This window comes from Homo sapiens, chromosome 16 (assembly GCF_000001405.40).
Source record: "Homo sapiens chromosome 16, GRCh38.p14 Primary Assembly".
Taxonomy (NCBI): Eukaryota; Metazoa; Chordata; class Mammalia; order Primates; family Hominidae; genus Homo; species Homo sapiens.
In genome coordinates this window covers 55385861-55404505 of record NC_000016.10, presented here as the reverse complement: position 1 = coordinate 55404505, position 18645 = coordinate 55385861, and the positions used below count along the sequence as shown (strand labels likewise).

The 18645-nt window shown below is 42.3% G+C and overlaps 1 annotated feature.

The window, feature by feature from the left end:
- Nucleotides 12680-14002: an enhancer, noted in NCBI's record as "VISTA enhancer hs23". NCBI's record gives its function as "enhancer in: neural tube[8/11] | hindbrain (rhombencephalon)[8/11]" and the evidence as "EXISTENCE:transgenic organism evidence [ECO:0001131][PMID:17130149]".

The window sequence follows — 18645 nt, the reverse complement described above, 5'->3', positions numbered from 1 at the left end:
TAAATGTTGCCAAATCCCCTTCCTGGGAGGCATGCTGTCTTCCATTCCCTCCAGCAATCCAGGAGAGCCCCTGTAGCATCTCTAACAAAGTATGTCCATAAGCTTTTGAATTTTTGCTCAAGTGATAGGTGAGCTATGCTGCTGTCTAGGTCTAATTTGGGTGTATGTTACTATGTGTTCAACTGAACATCTTTTTATGTGTTTAAGGGCTATTTGCATATCTTTTTGTTGTGAAGGATGAAATGGATTTCCCCATTTTGATATTTTTGTCTTTGTCTCTCTTTCAGAGACCACACTCTTAACAACTATACTTGTTATAAATAGAAAATAACATAAAGAAGTTCGATGTTTAAAGTCATTGTTTATTTTTTTATGTACACTATCCTTTCCTTCCTAAAAGCATCAGAATCTTTCTTTTGGGGAATGTCCCATTGTGTGGACAGTCCAAATCCACCTTTTCTCTCCCTACCTGGGCCATGATAGTGCTGAATACAATCAGACCTAGGCAGTCAGGCACATCTCCCAGACTCTGAGTCTTGAGCATGAGGTTCTAGGACACAAGGAGATCAGTTGACACCATCACTACAGGTAGTGATGGAGTCAAGTTCTTCCATCAGCTGTGCCAGGAAGCTCTGGGAGGGTTTTGCAGTGCAGCTCTCCTGGAACTGCTGGGTACCTGCTGGTTCCCAGTCTGCTCTTTCTGGCTCTGGTTGAGGCTCTAAACCCCAGCAACTTTCCAGGTAACTAACAGCTTCTGTTTACTCTCTGCAGAGTCAGTTTCTGTTGCTTACTCTTTGTGATGATTAATTTCATGTGTCAACTTGACTGGGCTAAGGAATGACCAGATAGCTGGTAAAATATTATTCCTGGGAGTGCCTGTGAGGGTGTTTCCAGAAGGGATTAGCATTTGAATTACAGACTGTGTAAGGTAGAGCTGTCCTCACCAGTGTGCGTGGGAATCATTCAATCTGTTGAGGGCCCAAATAGAACAAAAAGGCAGAGGAAGGGTGGATTTGCTCTCTGCTTGAGCTGGAACATCCATCTTCTCCTGCTCCTGGACTTTGGCACTCCTGGTTCTCAGTCCTTCAGACTTGGACTGGGACTTACACTACTGGCTCTCCTGGGTCTCGGGACTTTGGTTTTGAGCTGGAACTACACCATTAGCTTTCATCTTTCAGAAAGTAGATGATGGGACTTCTCAGCTTTTGTAGTTGTGTTCACCAATCCCTCAAAATAAATCTTTTTGTATATCTATATATATCCATGTGGTTCTGTTTCTCTGGAGAATCCTAATATACTCTCAATCATCCAAATTCATTTTTTCATTTGACAATAATTATTGAGATCCTACTAAGGCACTGTTCTGGATGCGAGAAATATAGCTATGAAAAAACAGAAAAATCCCTGCCTTCCTGCAACTTATGGTCTAGTAGGGAAGAGAGACAATACAGAAGAGAAGTAAAGAAGAAATACGGAACACTGAAAGTGGTAAGGGCTTTGGAGAAAAATGAAGTAGAGAAAAGGGACAGGAAGTGGTGTGAGTGGGTAGCGATTTTAAAGAAGGTAGTTGGAGAAGGGCACAATGAGAAGTTGACTGTTGAGTGAAGATCAGTTAAGGAGATTGAAGGAGATGAGGACTCAAGTCATACAGATAACTGGGAGTAAAAGGTTCAGGCTGGGCACAGTGGCTCACAACTGTAATTCCAGCACATAGGGAGGCCAAGAGGCCAAGGTGGGAGGATCGCTTGAGGTAAGAAGTTCAAGACCAGCCTGGTGAACATACTGGGACCTCATCTCCACAAAAAAAAAAAAAAGAAAAATTAAAAAAAATAGCCAGGCATGGTAGCACATGCCTGTAGTCCTAGCTGCCCAAGAGGCTGAGCCTGGAGGATCACTTGAGCCCATGAGGTCAAGGCTGCAGTGAGTTATGAGTGTACCAATGCACTCCAGCCTGGGCAACAGAAGGAGACCCTGTCTCTAAAACAAAAAACAAGCAAATTAAAAAAAAAACAAAAAAAGGATTCCAGGCAGAGGGACAGAAGGGGCACTGGCATTGTAGTAAAGATGTGCCTGCTATGTTTGAAGACATCCATGGGCTTAGAGGTGAGCAAATATGAGGAAGGTCATAGATGAGGGCCAAGAAGTAAGGGTGGGGTAGGACCCAACTGTACAGGGTCCTATAGATCATTGTAAAGACCTGGGATTTTTCTCTGAGGGACATGGGAATCATGGAAGATTCCTGAGCAGAGGAGTGGCATGACAAGACTTATTTAACAGAACCCCTCTGGCTCCTGAGACCAGAATACACTGTAGGATGGAAGGAAGGAAGGCCAATGAGGAAACAGAAGTGATGCAGTAATCACAGAAATTATGATGCTTTAGACCCGGGTGGTACTAGGGAGTAGCTGCGATGAAAAGATATTTTAAAAGTTTCTCCATGTCCCACCTATAACAGCATCATTTTTACTCACTGTGGTCTATGTGCTATACTTGCAGAACCCCTGTACTATACAACAAAGCTTTAAATTTCATGCCACAGACTAGAAATGCTACTGAGTTCAAAGGAGAGGTGATCATTGAGGGTGGGTTGACTCAGATTATCTTATTTGTCCTCACAGCAACAGGCAGAATGGAAATATCGTCTTAATGGTGCAGAAGAGCAAATGGAGATTTTGGCTCTAGTGGGGGAATCAGATTAAAAAAAAAAGTAAATCAATGAGAAAATGGCCAGTTGTCATATAGGATACAAGGAAGAAGAAAACGAGACTGAGATAGGAATTGGACGAATGGGAAAAATCTAAGAATGTTTCTATTCTAAAGGAAGAGAAAGAGCCAGCTATGAGAAGAATAAAACAGAGGAGGTGCATCAGGCAGTGGGAACAGCATGTACCAAGACCCTGAGGCAGGAGTATGGGGGCTATGCTGGAAGAACTGCTGGAAGGAGTTTGGATTTTACTCTAACCAGCTCCCTCTGTTCCTCGCCTATTTCACATGCATATGCATGTGCTGTGTTTAGCTCCAGTTCAGCTGTTTTTTTCTTAGGGGTAGAATGTGGAGCCATTTCTTAATTGCTCTATATTTAGCTTTGTTTAAAAATCTATAATTTAAAAACCACCAAGGGCTGGGTTGGTAATTCAGCTTCCATGGTCCATTTAATCTTTGGCCTTCACCGCTGAGCCAGCCCACCAAGGTGACAGCATGTGCCAGTCATTATGGAAGTGTTTGTTAGCAGAACATCTGCTCCCCCAAAGCTGGCCTGGGTCCAGTTGCCGAACCCCAGAGCTAATCCCAGGGCCCCTTGGTTTAGTTTCCTACAAAAGGAGGCTGGAGAACTGAACAGCTGGGGCATGGTGGAAGGGAGGTGGCGAATGGCATCTTGAGTCCTGCATCAACTCAAGTCTGTGCTGTGCTATTTACATGCCATTTCACTTCCTCTCTCTGGACCTCAGTTTCCTCACTTGTCCAGTGGATTGGATCATATCAGGTCCTAGATCTAGGGGACATTTTTATTCATTGTGAATAGAACTATCTATTAGCATGAGCACTTGTGGGGTCATTTGACAATATGTATCACAATTTAAATGACATTGATCCAGCAGTTCCACCTCTAAGAATTTTTCTTCCAGATGCATCCACACAATTGTACAGATAAGCAGGCACAAGGAATTCATATTAGCACTGTTTGTGATTGCAAAGTATTAGAAACAACCTAAATGTCCATCAGTAGAAAATTGGTTATATAAATTATGGTGCATCCACACAAAGGAATACTATGCAGCCTTTGGAAAGAATAAGACAGATCTCTATGTATGGATAAGATATGATGCCTAAAATATATTATGTCAAACGCAAAATATTGTGTGCATTCTTGTACTTTAAAAAGGTGATGATGTAATATGCATACATATGCGTACTGTATATCTAGAAAGAGACACAGGAAACAGAACTGTGATTGTCCTGAGAGACTGCAGGTCAGGGTGAGAGGGCACCTTCTTTTTCACTATTTATTTCTTTTATACTATTTGTAGTTCTTTTTGCACACATCAGTTTCACAGCCAAAAATTAAATAGATTTTCTTAAATGTTCTAAATGCCTATGGAATCAGATAGGTAACATAAGGGACTTTATACTTTATATTCAGGGAATGCCCTGAGTATAGAGCCACAGGGAGCCATGGGGACTTTGGTGAGTTGGAGTGCTCAAGTTCACTCAGCGGGACAGCTGTCACTCAACCCCACTTAACTGTGACCACGGAGCAAGGGGCCAAGGTGGCCAGAGCTGACTTCTCCGGAGAAAGAGAAATTCATATTTTAATACAACTCTTCTGATGCTTAAGTGTTGGTAACAACACTTATAAACAAAACACTCTGTGAGTCACAAAAATCTGGAGTCAGAGTTTGCTCCTGGTACAGTTTATAGCTGCTGAGTTTTACTTTTCCTTTCAGCTTTAAGGATCCTTTGCCTGGGAAACATACAAATATTACAGGCACTTTTGCACAGGCACAAGGGGTCTTTTTCAGATTGGTATGGGTTGGAACGGATGACTCTGCCAATGGTGACCGTGGCCAGGGGGGCAAAGTGATGTCTCCACACCTGCCGCCATGGTGAGTAGAAAAAGCTCTGGTCTTGCATAAGCATGTGATGCCTGGCCTGAGGCCAGTCTTGAGCACTTTGAAAATGGCAGAGCGAGGATACGCATTGCCACGGGGACACAAGACCTGAGCAGCCATCCTCGCCTCAGCCTGCCCTTGCAAGGTTTTCAGTCCCAAAGGGGTAGTTCAGTAAAGCCAATGACATGCACATTCAGATCTCAATTCTACCCCAACAAAGTCACCTCCCCTCAATGGGTAGACACCCAGGCCCGTTATCAAACACACATCCTAGAACATACTAGAAAGGAATGCTGTTTATTAAGAGCTGTGTTTGAGCCCAGGAAGAGGTTATTTTCTACCACACTGAAATGACTTGACACAGACAAAAGAAAATGTTTGAAACAGAATAGTAAGGAAAATGTCTACAACAGAAGAAAAATTTCTTAAAGAATGCCTGTCTTTGCTACTAGTATCAATACACTTTTACTGTCTACACTTATACAACGGAGAGGAAATAGGAGCTTTCTAATGTGTTGAAGTTATGAGCCAGACAAGAAAGATGTTAGAATTGAACAGGCAATAAATAATGTATTAAAAAGCAATTATTTCCCTCTGTCTAATGGTTAGTAGTTGCCTGTTTCCCCTTGAATGAATCTGTTTCTTAAACTATACATCACTCACAAAAATAAAAACAACAATAAAGCTGACCTTTGTATGTCAAAAGCCTGATTATGGCCCGGTTGGCAAGGCTGCATGCTGCCGGTCAGCAGATCCCGGGAAGGCGATTATCTAGACACACAAGATGCTTCTGAACAATCGGGAAAGAGAGGCCTCAAAGACACAGTTGAAAGGTGATTGGGGAGGTGGAAGGCATCAGCCCTGTGAGGGAGATCATTGCAGCATTTCCCCAGTTACAGGCCTGGCTGCAAGACAGAGTTCTTTGTATAAAACACTCACACGCAGATCAACACCGGAGCCTGAAAGTCCCTGTAGGGCTGATTGAGATGCTTCTGTACCTCAGCAAAACCTTGAGGGGGAGATGGCGCTCCATCTCACAGTGCTAATGAATTCGCAGTAGGGCATCTCTGAGCTTCTCCTCTCCTTTGCCTGCCTCTCCTCTCTCCCTGTCCAACCCGTCCTCGGTAGAATCAGAGCAGGAGCTGTTAACGGGTGAGGGCCAGACTCTATGTGCGAGGCTCTGGGCTGGGAGCTCTCAGACATTACCTCTTTCCAATCTCAAATCAACCAAACCAAGGAAGAAATAGAGATTCAGAAACAGAAAGAGGCCACTTCAGGATTTGAACCCAGGACTCTCTACCTCCAATGCCCAAGTTCTTTCCACTAAGAAAACCACAAGCTCCCAACACCCTCTTTCCCTTCCTATCTCTGCCAGTATCTCGACTCCAGCACAGACAGCACTCTCAAACCTCTTCTGGAATATTCCTTAAACCACTTTGCTCATGCCCTTTACCTTGGATCCTCCCCACCTGTCTCTCTCATCCCTTGCATGGCTTTCCATAGCTCTGGGAAACTTGCTCTCTCATCTTTACTGGGGAGCAAACTGCCTGGTTCTATGTTCACTGCATGCGTGTCTATACCCCGGCCCCGTTACTTCCCAGAGCACATCTTCAGTGACAGCCCACTTTCCACAGTTCTCGTTACACGATTACACTTGGCCCAGTGTAAAAATTGGTTGGTTCTGGCCTCAGTTCTACTACTTGTCAACTCTGTGATCTTTGGCTGGTGATCCAATGTTTCCTGGCCTTGCTTTCCTCATTTTGATGGAGTTAACAATCCCTGTCCTAACAGGGGTCTTTGATGAAAACGAGAATAATGAATTGAAAGCAATGTCTTAAACTTGTAAAATTAGTTTTGTCATTATAAATATTTACCTCTTACATTTTCCTCTAGCACATTTTGCCCTTTGAATGTCCTCCTGAAAAGGATGTAGAAAAAAGTAGTTGCCCAATTTTGATAGACGGGAAAACAGGAAGCTATAAAAGCTAAGTGATTTACTTAAGGAAAAAGAAAAAAAAAATAGAACCCTGAGAGGGTCTGTAACTTTATAACTCCTTGCTTTTTCATTAGATTACAGGGCTTCTTTAACAGCCTATTTTTATTCTCAGATAAATAATGATTTTAACTAGCAAATTCAGACATCTCTTGGTGAGCACCTACTTTGCGTCAGAAAGAGATTCAAAGACCCAGAGTGGCTTCTGGGTCTTTGGTTTACTAGTTTCAGCCCAAGCAATGTAGCTACAGTTAGGGAGGAGGAAGAGTGGGCCAGCTCTTTTCTCTTCATCCCTGCCATGTCACTGGCCAGTGGGGCAACATGAGGACATTCGCTAACTGCCCCCTTTGTCTTGATTTCCACATCTGCTAGAGTCTTTTTCTCATTGGAACGCTCTGAGATCTTAATACTCATAAAGTGCTTAGAACCATGCCTAGCATAAGTAAAGTTTCCATATATATGACTGTTTACTCACCCTACAAATATCTGACAAGTGCCTACAGGCATTGTTTTAGGCATTGGGCATATGACAATGACCAGAACAAGGTACCCATAGGGCTTATGGTCCCTTAGAGGGGGCAGACAATAAACACATACACGAATATAAAAAAGTTAAGTAATTTGGTTAGCTTTTCTTAACAACTGTAATTTTATAGATTATTACATTTTCCATTTGATTTTATTGGCAGAGAATGTGAACACTTACTGGGTCATCGATTTTAGATTTCTATGTGACTTGTCTTCTAAAGATTCCCGTTTCCTATCATTGGAAAGCAACTGCCCAGGAGACCACAGTTCTGTGTTAGACTAGAACTGAAATAATTTAGGTTCTAGATACTAAATGGTATAAACTTAGGATTTGCTTTAATTAGGACTTGAAAAGTCAAATGCTTGCTGAGGTTAGGTGGGTATCAAATGAGAGCAGCTGTCTGGAATGGGGATGGTGACATGGCTGCCCCATGAGGATGTGGCCCCAGTATGGCCGGATTGTCCGGTATGTTTTGGGACAGAGTGATCCAGTATTTTTGTATGAGATTTTCTGATTTTTGTTCAGTGGCAACAAATTCACCTTTAAAAACAAAACTGTTGAACTGGGCCAAGTGTGGATTAAACAAAACCCTCCTGTAGGCCAAGCTCAGCCTGAGAACTACCCATTGGCAAAGATCATTGCTTTCTATCATTGCATGTAATTTTCAACCTTGTCCTAAACTCCCCTGGCTTTTGAAGACACTATGATTTTTCTTCCTTTTGTCTGTTTCTTTTTCCAACAACATCAGTGGCAATAGTCCTTGTAGACAGATTTTCTGTGCTGAACCATTGCATCATGGGAAAGCCAAGAGAGCTTGGGAGGCTGAATTCTTTCTATGGCAGCCATCGACTGCTTTTGGGTGGGCCTCAGAGTCCATTAGAAGGTTGGAAAAAATAACTGGTTCTTGCTCTCCCAACTTTAATAATCACTGACTCTTTGTACTTTCCATCTTTCTGGTGATGTTTGATTTTTTTTGCATATTAATATGTCCCTGAGCAGAATGCTTAAATCCGAAAGGGAGCAAGTGTGGGTAGTGGAAGGAACATATAGCCACACTCTTAGTCTGCCCAGCAATATACAGATGAAACTGGAGCCCCGCGGGCCTCCTCTGCATACTCCAGATATCCGGATACTTTGGCTCTTTGTTTTCCAAAGAGTACAGGATTAGAGTAACTGGTCACCCCGTACCAGACTATAATCAACTGCACAACTGAGCCCGGCTCAATTCTGCATCAATGGTGAGTGAACAGCAGAGAATTTGCTGCCAGGCCTGTATGTGAGTGTGAGTGAGTGTAGTCTGTTCTCAGAGCCAACCAAGGCAGCTTTGAATAGTAATAAGCATTTTAGAGCTTTGGACTCTGGCCTTCACTAAATGGAATTCAGAGGTGATGAGTTTGTATTTTTGGTGTCTATATTTGCCAATAGCCTTTCATGCAAACTCACAAAATACCACCACCTCCTAAGGCAGTGGTTCTGAAATTTGAGCATACATCAGAATCACCTGGAAGACTTTAAAATCCAGGTTTCCGGCCCTGCCTCCTGATTTTGATTCAAGAGGTCTAGGATAGGGCCCAGAATTTCCATTTCTCATGAGTTCCCAGATGATACTGATGTTGCTGGTCCAGGGACCATACTTTGAGAACCACTGTTCTAAGGAATTGGCAAAGAGGTGTCTAAATCAGGAAATACTTATTTTTATATTACATTTGTTCCTTGAACAATGCAGGAATTAGGGGCACTGACCACCCATGCAGTTGAAGATCAGTGTATAACTTTTGACTCCCCAAAAACTCAACTAGTAATAGCCTACTGCTGACTGGAATGCTTACAGATAACGTCAATGCCAGTTAACACATATTTTGCACGTATATGTATTATACGTTGTATTTTTAAAATAAAGCAACGTACAGAAAAGAAAATGTTATTAAGAATCATAAGGAAGAGAAATATATTTATTATTCATTAAGTGAAAGTGGATCATCATAAAGATCTTCATTCTCATCTTCTTCACACTGAGTAGGCTGAGGAGGAGGAAGAGGAGGAAGAGGAGGGGTTGTTCTTGCTGTCTCGGGGGTGGCACAGGTAGAAGAAAATCCGCATAGTCATGGAGCTGCACAGTTCAAACCTGTGTTGTTCAATGGTCAAATGTGCATATTGCTCTTAATGGCATTCAGAGGCAGCAGATCCTAGTGGAAATGGAGTCGGGAAAATCTGGCTTCCAGCCCTGACGGTGCATTACTGGCTCTGTGGTCTTGGGAGAGCTCTGATACACTCACCTTCTAAGAAGCATAGTTTTCCCACCTGGAAACTGAAAATTATAATTCCAGGCTTACTTTTCTCACAAGAGTGGGGGGAGACTCCAGTGATCTTGGGTGCCCGTGTGCTTTGCAAACCTAAGACCCTCCACACAGACCTGAGGGATCTTGGGAGTTTATCTTCTAGTCTCTTCTTTTTTTTTTTTTTCTTCTTTTGAGATGGAGTCTCACTCTGTTGCCCAGGCTGGAGTGCAGTGGTGCTGTCTTGGCTCACTGCAATCTCCTCCTCCCAGTTCAATTGATTCTCCTGCCTCAGCCTCCCAAGTAGCTGGAATTACAGTCATGAGCCACAGCACCTGGCTAATTTTTGTACTTTTAGTAGAGACAGGGTTTCACCATGTTGGTCAGGCTGGTCTCGAACTCCTGACCTGAAAAGATCTGCACGCCTCAACCTCCCAAAGTGCTGGGATTATAGGCATGAGTCACTGCACCCAGCTTCTTCTTGCTTTTTACTCTGATGAATTCTCTGCTATAAGATTATTTTAAGGTGAAAGACCCTGAGGATGTAAGATCAAGAGACTCATTTTCGTAAAGAGTTACTCTTTTTTGAAGGGACAATGTTGTAACTTCCCCAGTCTCCAAGAACTCTTCCAGCCTGAGAAATGGATTTACTTACTGTAGTAGGCAAAGCCCTTAAAATAATATCAATTTATAGATGTTCTTAACAGACTGCTTTCCTGTTTGTGTTGGGGACTAGTTTTAAAAATTACATTTTTTTAAAAAAAGATAGTTGACTTGGAGAATAATTTAGCATCAAGGAAGAAATTAGGCCAAGGCAAATAGCAGATGCTAAAATCGTGGAGAGCCACGTGCAGCCTCTTTGAAATGGCTGGGACCTTATTTGCTGAGCACAATCAGGGCTTCCTTCCAGCACAGAGGATGGAAACTCTCCCATCATCGGCTCTCGATTCCTTCCCTGATTATAAACAGAGATTTCTTTCCTCTGTTGGCCCAGCCCACATCCATGCTGGGCAAAACTAGAAGAATGTTTTCTCTTACATTGCCCAGGCTTCTCTGTAACATCAGCTGCTGGGCTGAATTGGCAGAAGGGTGTCTGGAAATCTGACAAGCTGCTACAAATGCTAACAGTAGAAATTAAGATGGTCACCTGGAGCTATAACATATCTGAATACCTGGAGCTATAACATATCTGAATGTCGCAAAGCCTCAAGTTCTTTCAAGGAAAGACTGAGAGGGTTTATGATGCGATTTTAAGCTTTTAGCCAGTTTGTGCCTTAACTGGACACTTGATTTCAAGCATAGTGTGTGTCTTTGCATACCTCACGTAGTTCAGGAAAATAAAGTATAATGTGTGTCTAACGTGAGCCATCTATTTAAAAAATCTATAGCCAGATTGATTATTACATAGGTTTAATATCATCCTTCAACTCTCCACTGTGGAATAGGTCATTTAATTAAAGCTAGGGGAAAAAATAAAATTTGATCGCTCTTCACATGACTCATGCCACCAAGAGTCCCACACCTACAGTGTTAGCCATTCCATAAATCTAAGATTAGTGATATGACATTGTGTGTTCGAGCAAGTGCAAGAATTCTCAACAGTCTGGAAAGAAGTTGAGGTGGAAAGAACTGAATTGGAATCATAGAATCATAGTGTGTTTCAGCCAGAAGAATGTTGGGTTTTAGTAAAAGAATTATAAAACTAAACATACAAGCTGGAAGGGGCCTTAAAGTCATCCAGTCAATCATAGAGTCCCTTCTACTGTAGAAGCACCTCCCAAATCCAAGGACTTGCTGCTTTCAGGGGCTTTTCATTCTTCTTCTAATTGCTGGGAGCATTAGATAATCACTCTGCTTTAAATATGTGTTCCCATTGTTTCCTAGTTTTATCCTTGGGTGGGGGGTCACACAAATAATTCCCAATCCTTCCTCAAATTGTCATTCCTGTAGATATTTGAGGCCATCTATGCTTTCTACACACCCCTTTTCTTCTCTCATACCTCCTGTGATTTGATGTCCATTTCTCTCACCATCTAATCACTCTGTTCAGATCTATCCATGTCCTTCTTAAACATATGTTGCCTCAAACTGGATCCAACATTCCTGTGGTTTGATTAATACAATCATGTTCTTTGTTCCAAAGTCTTCATGTCTATTATTCATCCTAAGATCACATTGGCTGCTTTGAGAATAAATCATTTAGGGTTCCTTTGGTTGTAAGTGATGAACACTCAATTCTAACCAGTTTAAGTAAAAGTGGAAATTTAATAGATCACATAACTGCAAAGTCAGAGATAAAACTTCAGGTATGGCTGGATCCAGAGGTATGAGCAACATCTGCATGAGGTAGGCATCTACTTAGGTATTTGGTCAACTTTCTCACGTGTTGGCACCATTCACAGGCAAGATAAATCTTAGCCATGTCAAGCTTAAATCATCAAGGTTCTAAGTACATGATAATAAGAGAGAATGAGCCTTTGTATTACTTTGCTAGTGCTGTTGTAACAAGGTACCGCACCCTGAGAGGCCTAATCAACAGAAACTGATCGTCTTACAGTTCTGGAGGCTGGAAGTCTGAGATCAAGGTTATCAGCAGGGTTGGTTTCTTCTGAGGGCTGTGAGGAGGGAGCTGTTTCGGTCTTCCCTGGCTACCGGTGATTTATTGGAAGTCTCTGGTATTCCTGGAAGTCTCTGGTATTCCTTAGCTTGTAGCAGTATCACCTCAATCTCTGCCTTCATCTTCATATGGCATTCTCTCTGTGTGCATGTCTGTTTTTGTCCAAATTTCCCCTTTTAATAAGGACACCAGTCATATTGGACTAGGGTTCCACCCTACTCCAGTGTGACTTCATCTTAACTAATCTCATGAGCAATGACCCTGTTTCTAAATAAAGTCACATTATGGAGCAGTGGGGGTCAGGACTTCAACATGTGAATTTTGTGGGGACACAGCCTCAAACCACAACAGCCTCTTTTATGACAGTACTACCATGAACTCCCACGCCTGCATTTCAGGGCTCAAATACAGCACATATCCATCCCTGATCTAATCACTGTTATACCAGTTTTTCTCTGGAACCATTAGTAAAAACACAGCCCAAACCACAAGAACTGATGGTGGGGCTGGAGAAAGGAGGTGATGTTAGGAGAAGAAGCATGAATAGATGTCAGACATGCAAAACATGAAAAAACCTGCACAAGGAAAACCAAGCAATCCAGAACCCATGTCCTGAGACCTGAGCAATAGCTAAGGCTCCAGAAACAGGAAACCTGAAGAATGCACTTGACTCTGTCTCTTTAAAAAGAAATCGTTTGTTAGTTTGTTGTCATGAATCAAACTAGAAAGTTGAGCTGCCAAACTGTTTTTGGTTCTTACAAGGCATCATGGAAGCCGCTTGGCCCCTGGTAGCTTCGTGTTTTGCATTTATTTCTTTTCATATTGGAAGATTAAAACAATAGCTTCTGGTTATCATCCCACATATTATTGATTAAAATCCTTGCCCGAAGACCTTCCATCTCACTTTTCAGCGTGGTGTGATTTACTTTTCTTTTTACTCCCTGTAACATATGATTAATGCTGATCTCAGGAGTCCCGGTGAGATGAAGCTGGGTGTCAGGTACGATTTGTCAGCTTGGAAGTATAGATTATTTTATGTTTCTCGAACTTTGTGGCCAAGGGAACACAGCTCTTGATTGTTAAATCCATCCACACTTTCCCCTGGGCTATGAAATGCCAGAAACATTAAATAGCCCACTTAATACATAACCTCATTCTGTATGCTTGACTATTTTGTTTTTAATTTTTCTTCCCTTTCCCGGCTGCTCACATGAAATGGGATCAAAGAAAAAAATTATCCTCCCTGGATTTTGTTAAAATATTAATAGGTTAGGGTTGACTGGCTAAATTGAATATCTTTGCTGATCTCACTTGCATGTTTAACTTGTGCTTAGGAAAATATGTTTCCTAGGTGATAACCTTTTATGTACTAGCCTGACTTCATTGAAATGCATAGAGATAAAAATATGTCACGCTCAGCGGCTATGCTATTCTTGTGTGGCACTGTGATTATTCAGATGGTAATTGGCCCCCACCTGTAGACAGCTCCGATTCTGTAGTCAATCATTTCATTTGATGTTAAAATATGTGAAAGTACAATTATATAATTTACATTACAAATCATGTTGAATGCCAGGGGTCTCTGAACTGCTGACAAATTCAAAGGAATCAAGGGTTGCAGGGAGAGAACTCGGGTCAATAAATGAAGTGAATTACACCGGGCGAGGGGTTCAACTTTTCTTATTTGTGTCCACAACAAGAGCTTTTGTGCATGTGTCATTGAGAGAGTGCCTATGGCCTTCTCTCGGCACCGAAATGGCAGCTTTTTAGATGCCTTTCTAAGGATGTCTCCCCCTTTCCTTTCAAAGAATTGCTCCTTGTGGCCTCCCATTAGGTAAAGTAAGGACTTGTCAAGACCAGAAAGGGAAAGCTGATCTATTAAAGTGAAGATGGCATCAAGTCTGGAAGGTTGAAGTAGCTGCTGCATGCAGAACCCAACACAGGCGGGGGTCGTAGCCTTGTAAATTAGGCTTGCAAGTTTCCAAACTCCAGATCTCGGCCATCAAACTTGAAACTTGTATGAATAGTGTCAGGAGTCGTGGCTGTTATTTATCTAGCTTTTAATGTGTGCCCAGTACTGGGTTAAATATTTTCCATACATTATCCCTTTAATCCTCACAATATCCATGTGAGGTGGGTCTGCTGTCACCCCTTACATATGAAGAAAATAAGCACAAGGGGTTCGTGGGGCTTGCCCAAGGCTATTTAGTAGGAAGCTGGGAAAGTTGAAGCTGGTGACCAAGTCTAGGAAAGTCCTTTTGGTGACCGAGTCTGGGCTGGTGGTCACTCTGTTCTTCTGGATCAGGCATCAGATGCTTAGTGACTACACAGGACCAGGGAAGTGCTCATGACAGAACCTCTCCTTCCGTGGGGTTTACAGGAAAGCAGGTGGGTTGAGGTGGAAGTGAGGATCCTAGGTAAGGGCGACCCAGGTAGGAAACTCACCAGTCATCGGGTTCTCAATGGAGATGGAGTATCCACTGCTGTGATGTAGAGTCCAGCCCTAGGGCTTGCAGATGAGCAGGCTTTCAAGCGCTCCTGTAGGCCAGGAGAGGAAGCATGTTTTTTTCTCCCACGTTTGCATAATACTCCCAGCATGGGAGTCATCCAGGCCCTCTCACCCTCTTTCTCTGCCACATTCCACAGCAGCTGGGCTGGGCAGTCCATGGGGCCTCTTGACTTTCAGAGTAAGTGAACTACTGGTCCAGGTACATGAAAGAAAAAGCTCTACTTCCCCTTAAAGTGATTTTGAACACCAAGGGCTGGGTTCATCTCGGATGTGGACATCTGATCCTTGAAATGTGCTGGGAATTCTGCCATGCTGGCTAAGAAGTGCTGCTTTGCTGCCAATGCCCCTTGCATGGCCACGAGCTGGCTTCTGGGCAACCTCTCCCGGAAGTCCTTGTGAAGAGGACATGATGGACTACATCCCCACAGCAGGTGTCAACCTGAGTCAGTCACCATCATGATTTCCGCCATGTTGCAACCTCCTCTCCTCCTAATCACTTAGCACAATCGTTAAGAGCACAGAGTCTGGAAACAAGTGTCTAGGTTCAAATCTCTGCTCTGCTGTCTGCTGGCTGTGAGATCTAGCAGAAGTTCATCTCTGTGCCTCAGTTTCCTCATTTGTAAGCAAAATAAACAATAGTGCCTGTCATACAGCCTTATTATAATGATTAAGAGTTAAAACACAGAGCACTTAGAACAATGCCTGATACACAGGGTTACAGGGCAGTGTGAAAAATTATTTTTTTCTTAAATGAGAATTATCTTTTTTACCAGTTATATAATATATGAAGTTAAATTTGTTTATAATAAACCTTAAAATAAACAATATAACTACTAAATATTGTTTTGAATTCTGTTGATGGGTCCCAAGGGGACTGGATACTGCACTCTGGGAAGCCACTAAGAGTAAAGGTCAAAGTTCTTGCCCTGGCATTCCAAATCCCCCACACGTTGTTCTCCCACAAGCAACTGACCAGGTAATTTATGCTCTGTTGATTTGGATACTTCCAAAAAAAAAAAAAACACAAGTTGTTTTGTTATTTTTTTCCAGAGGCAGCATGGCCTAGCAGTTATGCACACAGACCTAGAGTCAATGACACGGGTTTGAACCCTAGCTCTGTGCCACCTTAGCCGTGGAATATCAGTTACTCCTCCTCTCTGTGTGTCTCAGCTTTCTCAACTATAAAATGGGGATAATAATAGACTTCACCTCATTAGAGGGATTGGGACAATTAAAGGAGTTAGTTCATGCTTGGCCAAAGTGAAAGTTCCTTAAATGTGAGCCAATTAGGCACTGGTATTACAGTCACATTTATATGTTAAATAGAAGTCATTAAGCCTGTCTATTGGACCAAAGAATGAAACAGTGGCTTTCACACCCAGGGTCTGGGACTATTTTAGGAGCTCCAAGCATCTTTCCTCCCCACTGGAGACTGCGCTGCAGAGAGCTGGGAATGTGGGGAAGCTGACCCAGGATCGAGCGGGCCATTTCTCCACTCAGTCAGAAAGTCCAGCAGCAGAAATCACCCACTTGGTGAATGAGCCAGACACCCTGGCCAGGGAAAATTTCCCAGACATTTTCTAGATACTCATTTTGAAAGTGAATTGAGACATTATTTTTAATTAAAGTGGCAATCTGCCCCCATGAGATTCCCTGTCCCTAGAATGCTTAAATAATGGCCTCTGTTTGGTTCCGTCTCTGCCTTCTCTTCCTCCTATTAATTTCAAGCCCATCAGAGGGCCAGTTTACTAAATTGGTTTTAATGGAAATTTAGCCAACATGAATAATAATGAAATGTAAAATTATTCCTTAGCTAATGAACAGCCAGTGGCTTTGGGGTTAATTGTTTGCTTCTGGTGTCAGCTTATTTATATTGAAATAGAATTGTAATAGGACTCTAAACTAAAACTGTTTCATCTCCTTGATCATCACTTACCTTAGGGTTTATTCTTTACCATTAGTCATTGTTTAGTAATCGCTCCCACTTTGGATTCACTTGTGAATTAATTAATTACCTAGTTAAACTTGAGCACTTTTTTTCTTTAGAAAATAGAAAACATCTTTTCTCACCTTGTTATCTACAGCTGGTACTGTGAAGGAAATATTAACACTAGGTAGTGACAGTGATATTTCCTGCTAGCATTGTGCTTTTATTCTAACAATAGCCACATGCACTGTTTTAGTCATTTCAAGGCTGCTATAACAAATTACTGTAGACTGGGTTGCTTGAAAAAAACAAACATTTATTTCTCACATTTCTGGAGGCTAAGTCCAAGACTAGGATGCTAGAAGATCTGGTGTCTGGTGAGGGCCTGTGCCCTGATTTGCAGATGGCTGTCTTCTTGTATCCTCATATGGCAGGGAGAGAGCGAATGCATGCTCTTCTGTCTCTTTGTCTCTTGTCAGGACACTAATCCCACTCATGAGGACTCTGTATGTACATACAATGGAATAGTATTTAGCCTTTAAAAGGAAGGAAATTCTAACACATGTTTCTACATGGTTGACCTTGAGAACATTATGCTAAGTGAAACAAGCCAGTCACGAAAGGACAAATATGGAATGACTCCACTTGTATTAGGTACTACCCTGGGTCAAATCTGGCAAAACAGAGCAGGTGGACTTTCTCCCAAGAATCTAAGGAGAAATTTCAGTGGCTCTGATGAGATTGCCTGTCCATCTCTGAACCAATCACAGAAGGCCAGGGGAATGTGATGTTATGATTGGCTCCCATGCTTAGAGACTAGGCTGGAATTAACTCGGGTTCACTTCTAGAGCCTACTGGAGGCGGAAGAAGTCTCCTCTAGGATATTCGTGTTGAAACATAAGGCTCTCACTAGGGCATCCGTTGGGTCTGAGTTCTCTGGTGGTTGTTCAGCTATTTATGGACTGGACAAGCTGGAATTGAGTATGATTCATTCCACCTAGGCCTCCAGGTATGTTTGTCTTAGGACAAATTTGCTGAAGGAATTCCAAGTGGCCTCTGTGAACTCTTCCAACTTCCAATTTCTTAGTCTATTCCTTATATTTGCCTTTCCTTTACAGACTGAAAAATCTACTGCCTGGTTCAGGATTCTGAGAAGGCCCTCCACTGGCCCAGGGGGGATTTAAGTCTGGTTCTGGATTTTCTGCTGACTTCCTGCATGGCTTAGAATGAGGCAATGTGCTCAGTTGCTTTTCTGCCCAATAAAGGGTTTGAACGAGATGACTTCCAAAGTTCCCTTTCATCCCTAAGGTTTTATGATGCTATGAATAACCACTTGAGAATCAACTTTAGGACTGATAGCAGAAAGAGGCAGGGTACCCAGTCATTGAGAGAACATGCTTAGGATTGAATGTGCCTGAAGAATGGGGCAATAATCCCACTCATCCTAATAATCCTACCTGAAAGGATGATTGTGCATATTAAATGATAAAATGCATGAAAAACATTTAGGACAGTGAAACACCAAATAAATTACTAATATATCAATTAGTTCACCTGACACACATTGAACACCTGCTGTGCTAGGTGCTCTGGGTTATATGAACCTTGTCGTACTAATGAATTTGCAAGAGCATTGGGAAAAAGGTTAAATGGTAGTACAAGATTAAAAAATTTAAAAAGTAGATTGTTTCTAGCGACAGGTATTTATATTACGTTGTTTTAAATTTTTCTTTATTTGGAGAGACCAGGATATTTTTTTAAAATCCTGCTTTGTTTCTTAGTTTTTAAGACTGTGTCTAATTCCTAAAACCCCTGGAGGTGAACTTAGCATTGACCACCCTGGAGTTGGCCCACTCTAGTTATATGCATCCTGGAATTCACTAGAGGGCCAAAGAAAAGTGCTTTACCTAGGCTCTTACTCCCAAGCAGAATTAGGCTACATGGCCCAAAGCAGAAATCAGGATGAGCCCTTGGCAAAGCTGCCAGGCCCTGTGAGCTATAATATCACAGCCTGAAGGGGCCCTAGGCACCTACTTCAACCACTTCATCCTCTAGCTGGGGAAGCTGAGACCCAGAAAGGACACAGACCCCCAGCATCACTAGGGAATTAATGGTACAGTAAAGAGTGCAATTGTGATCTTCTGATTATCCATTCACCTGTCTTTGTATTGTACTGTACTGAGC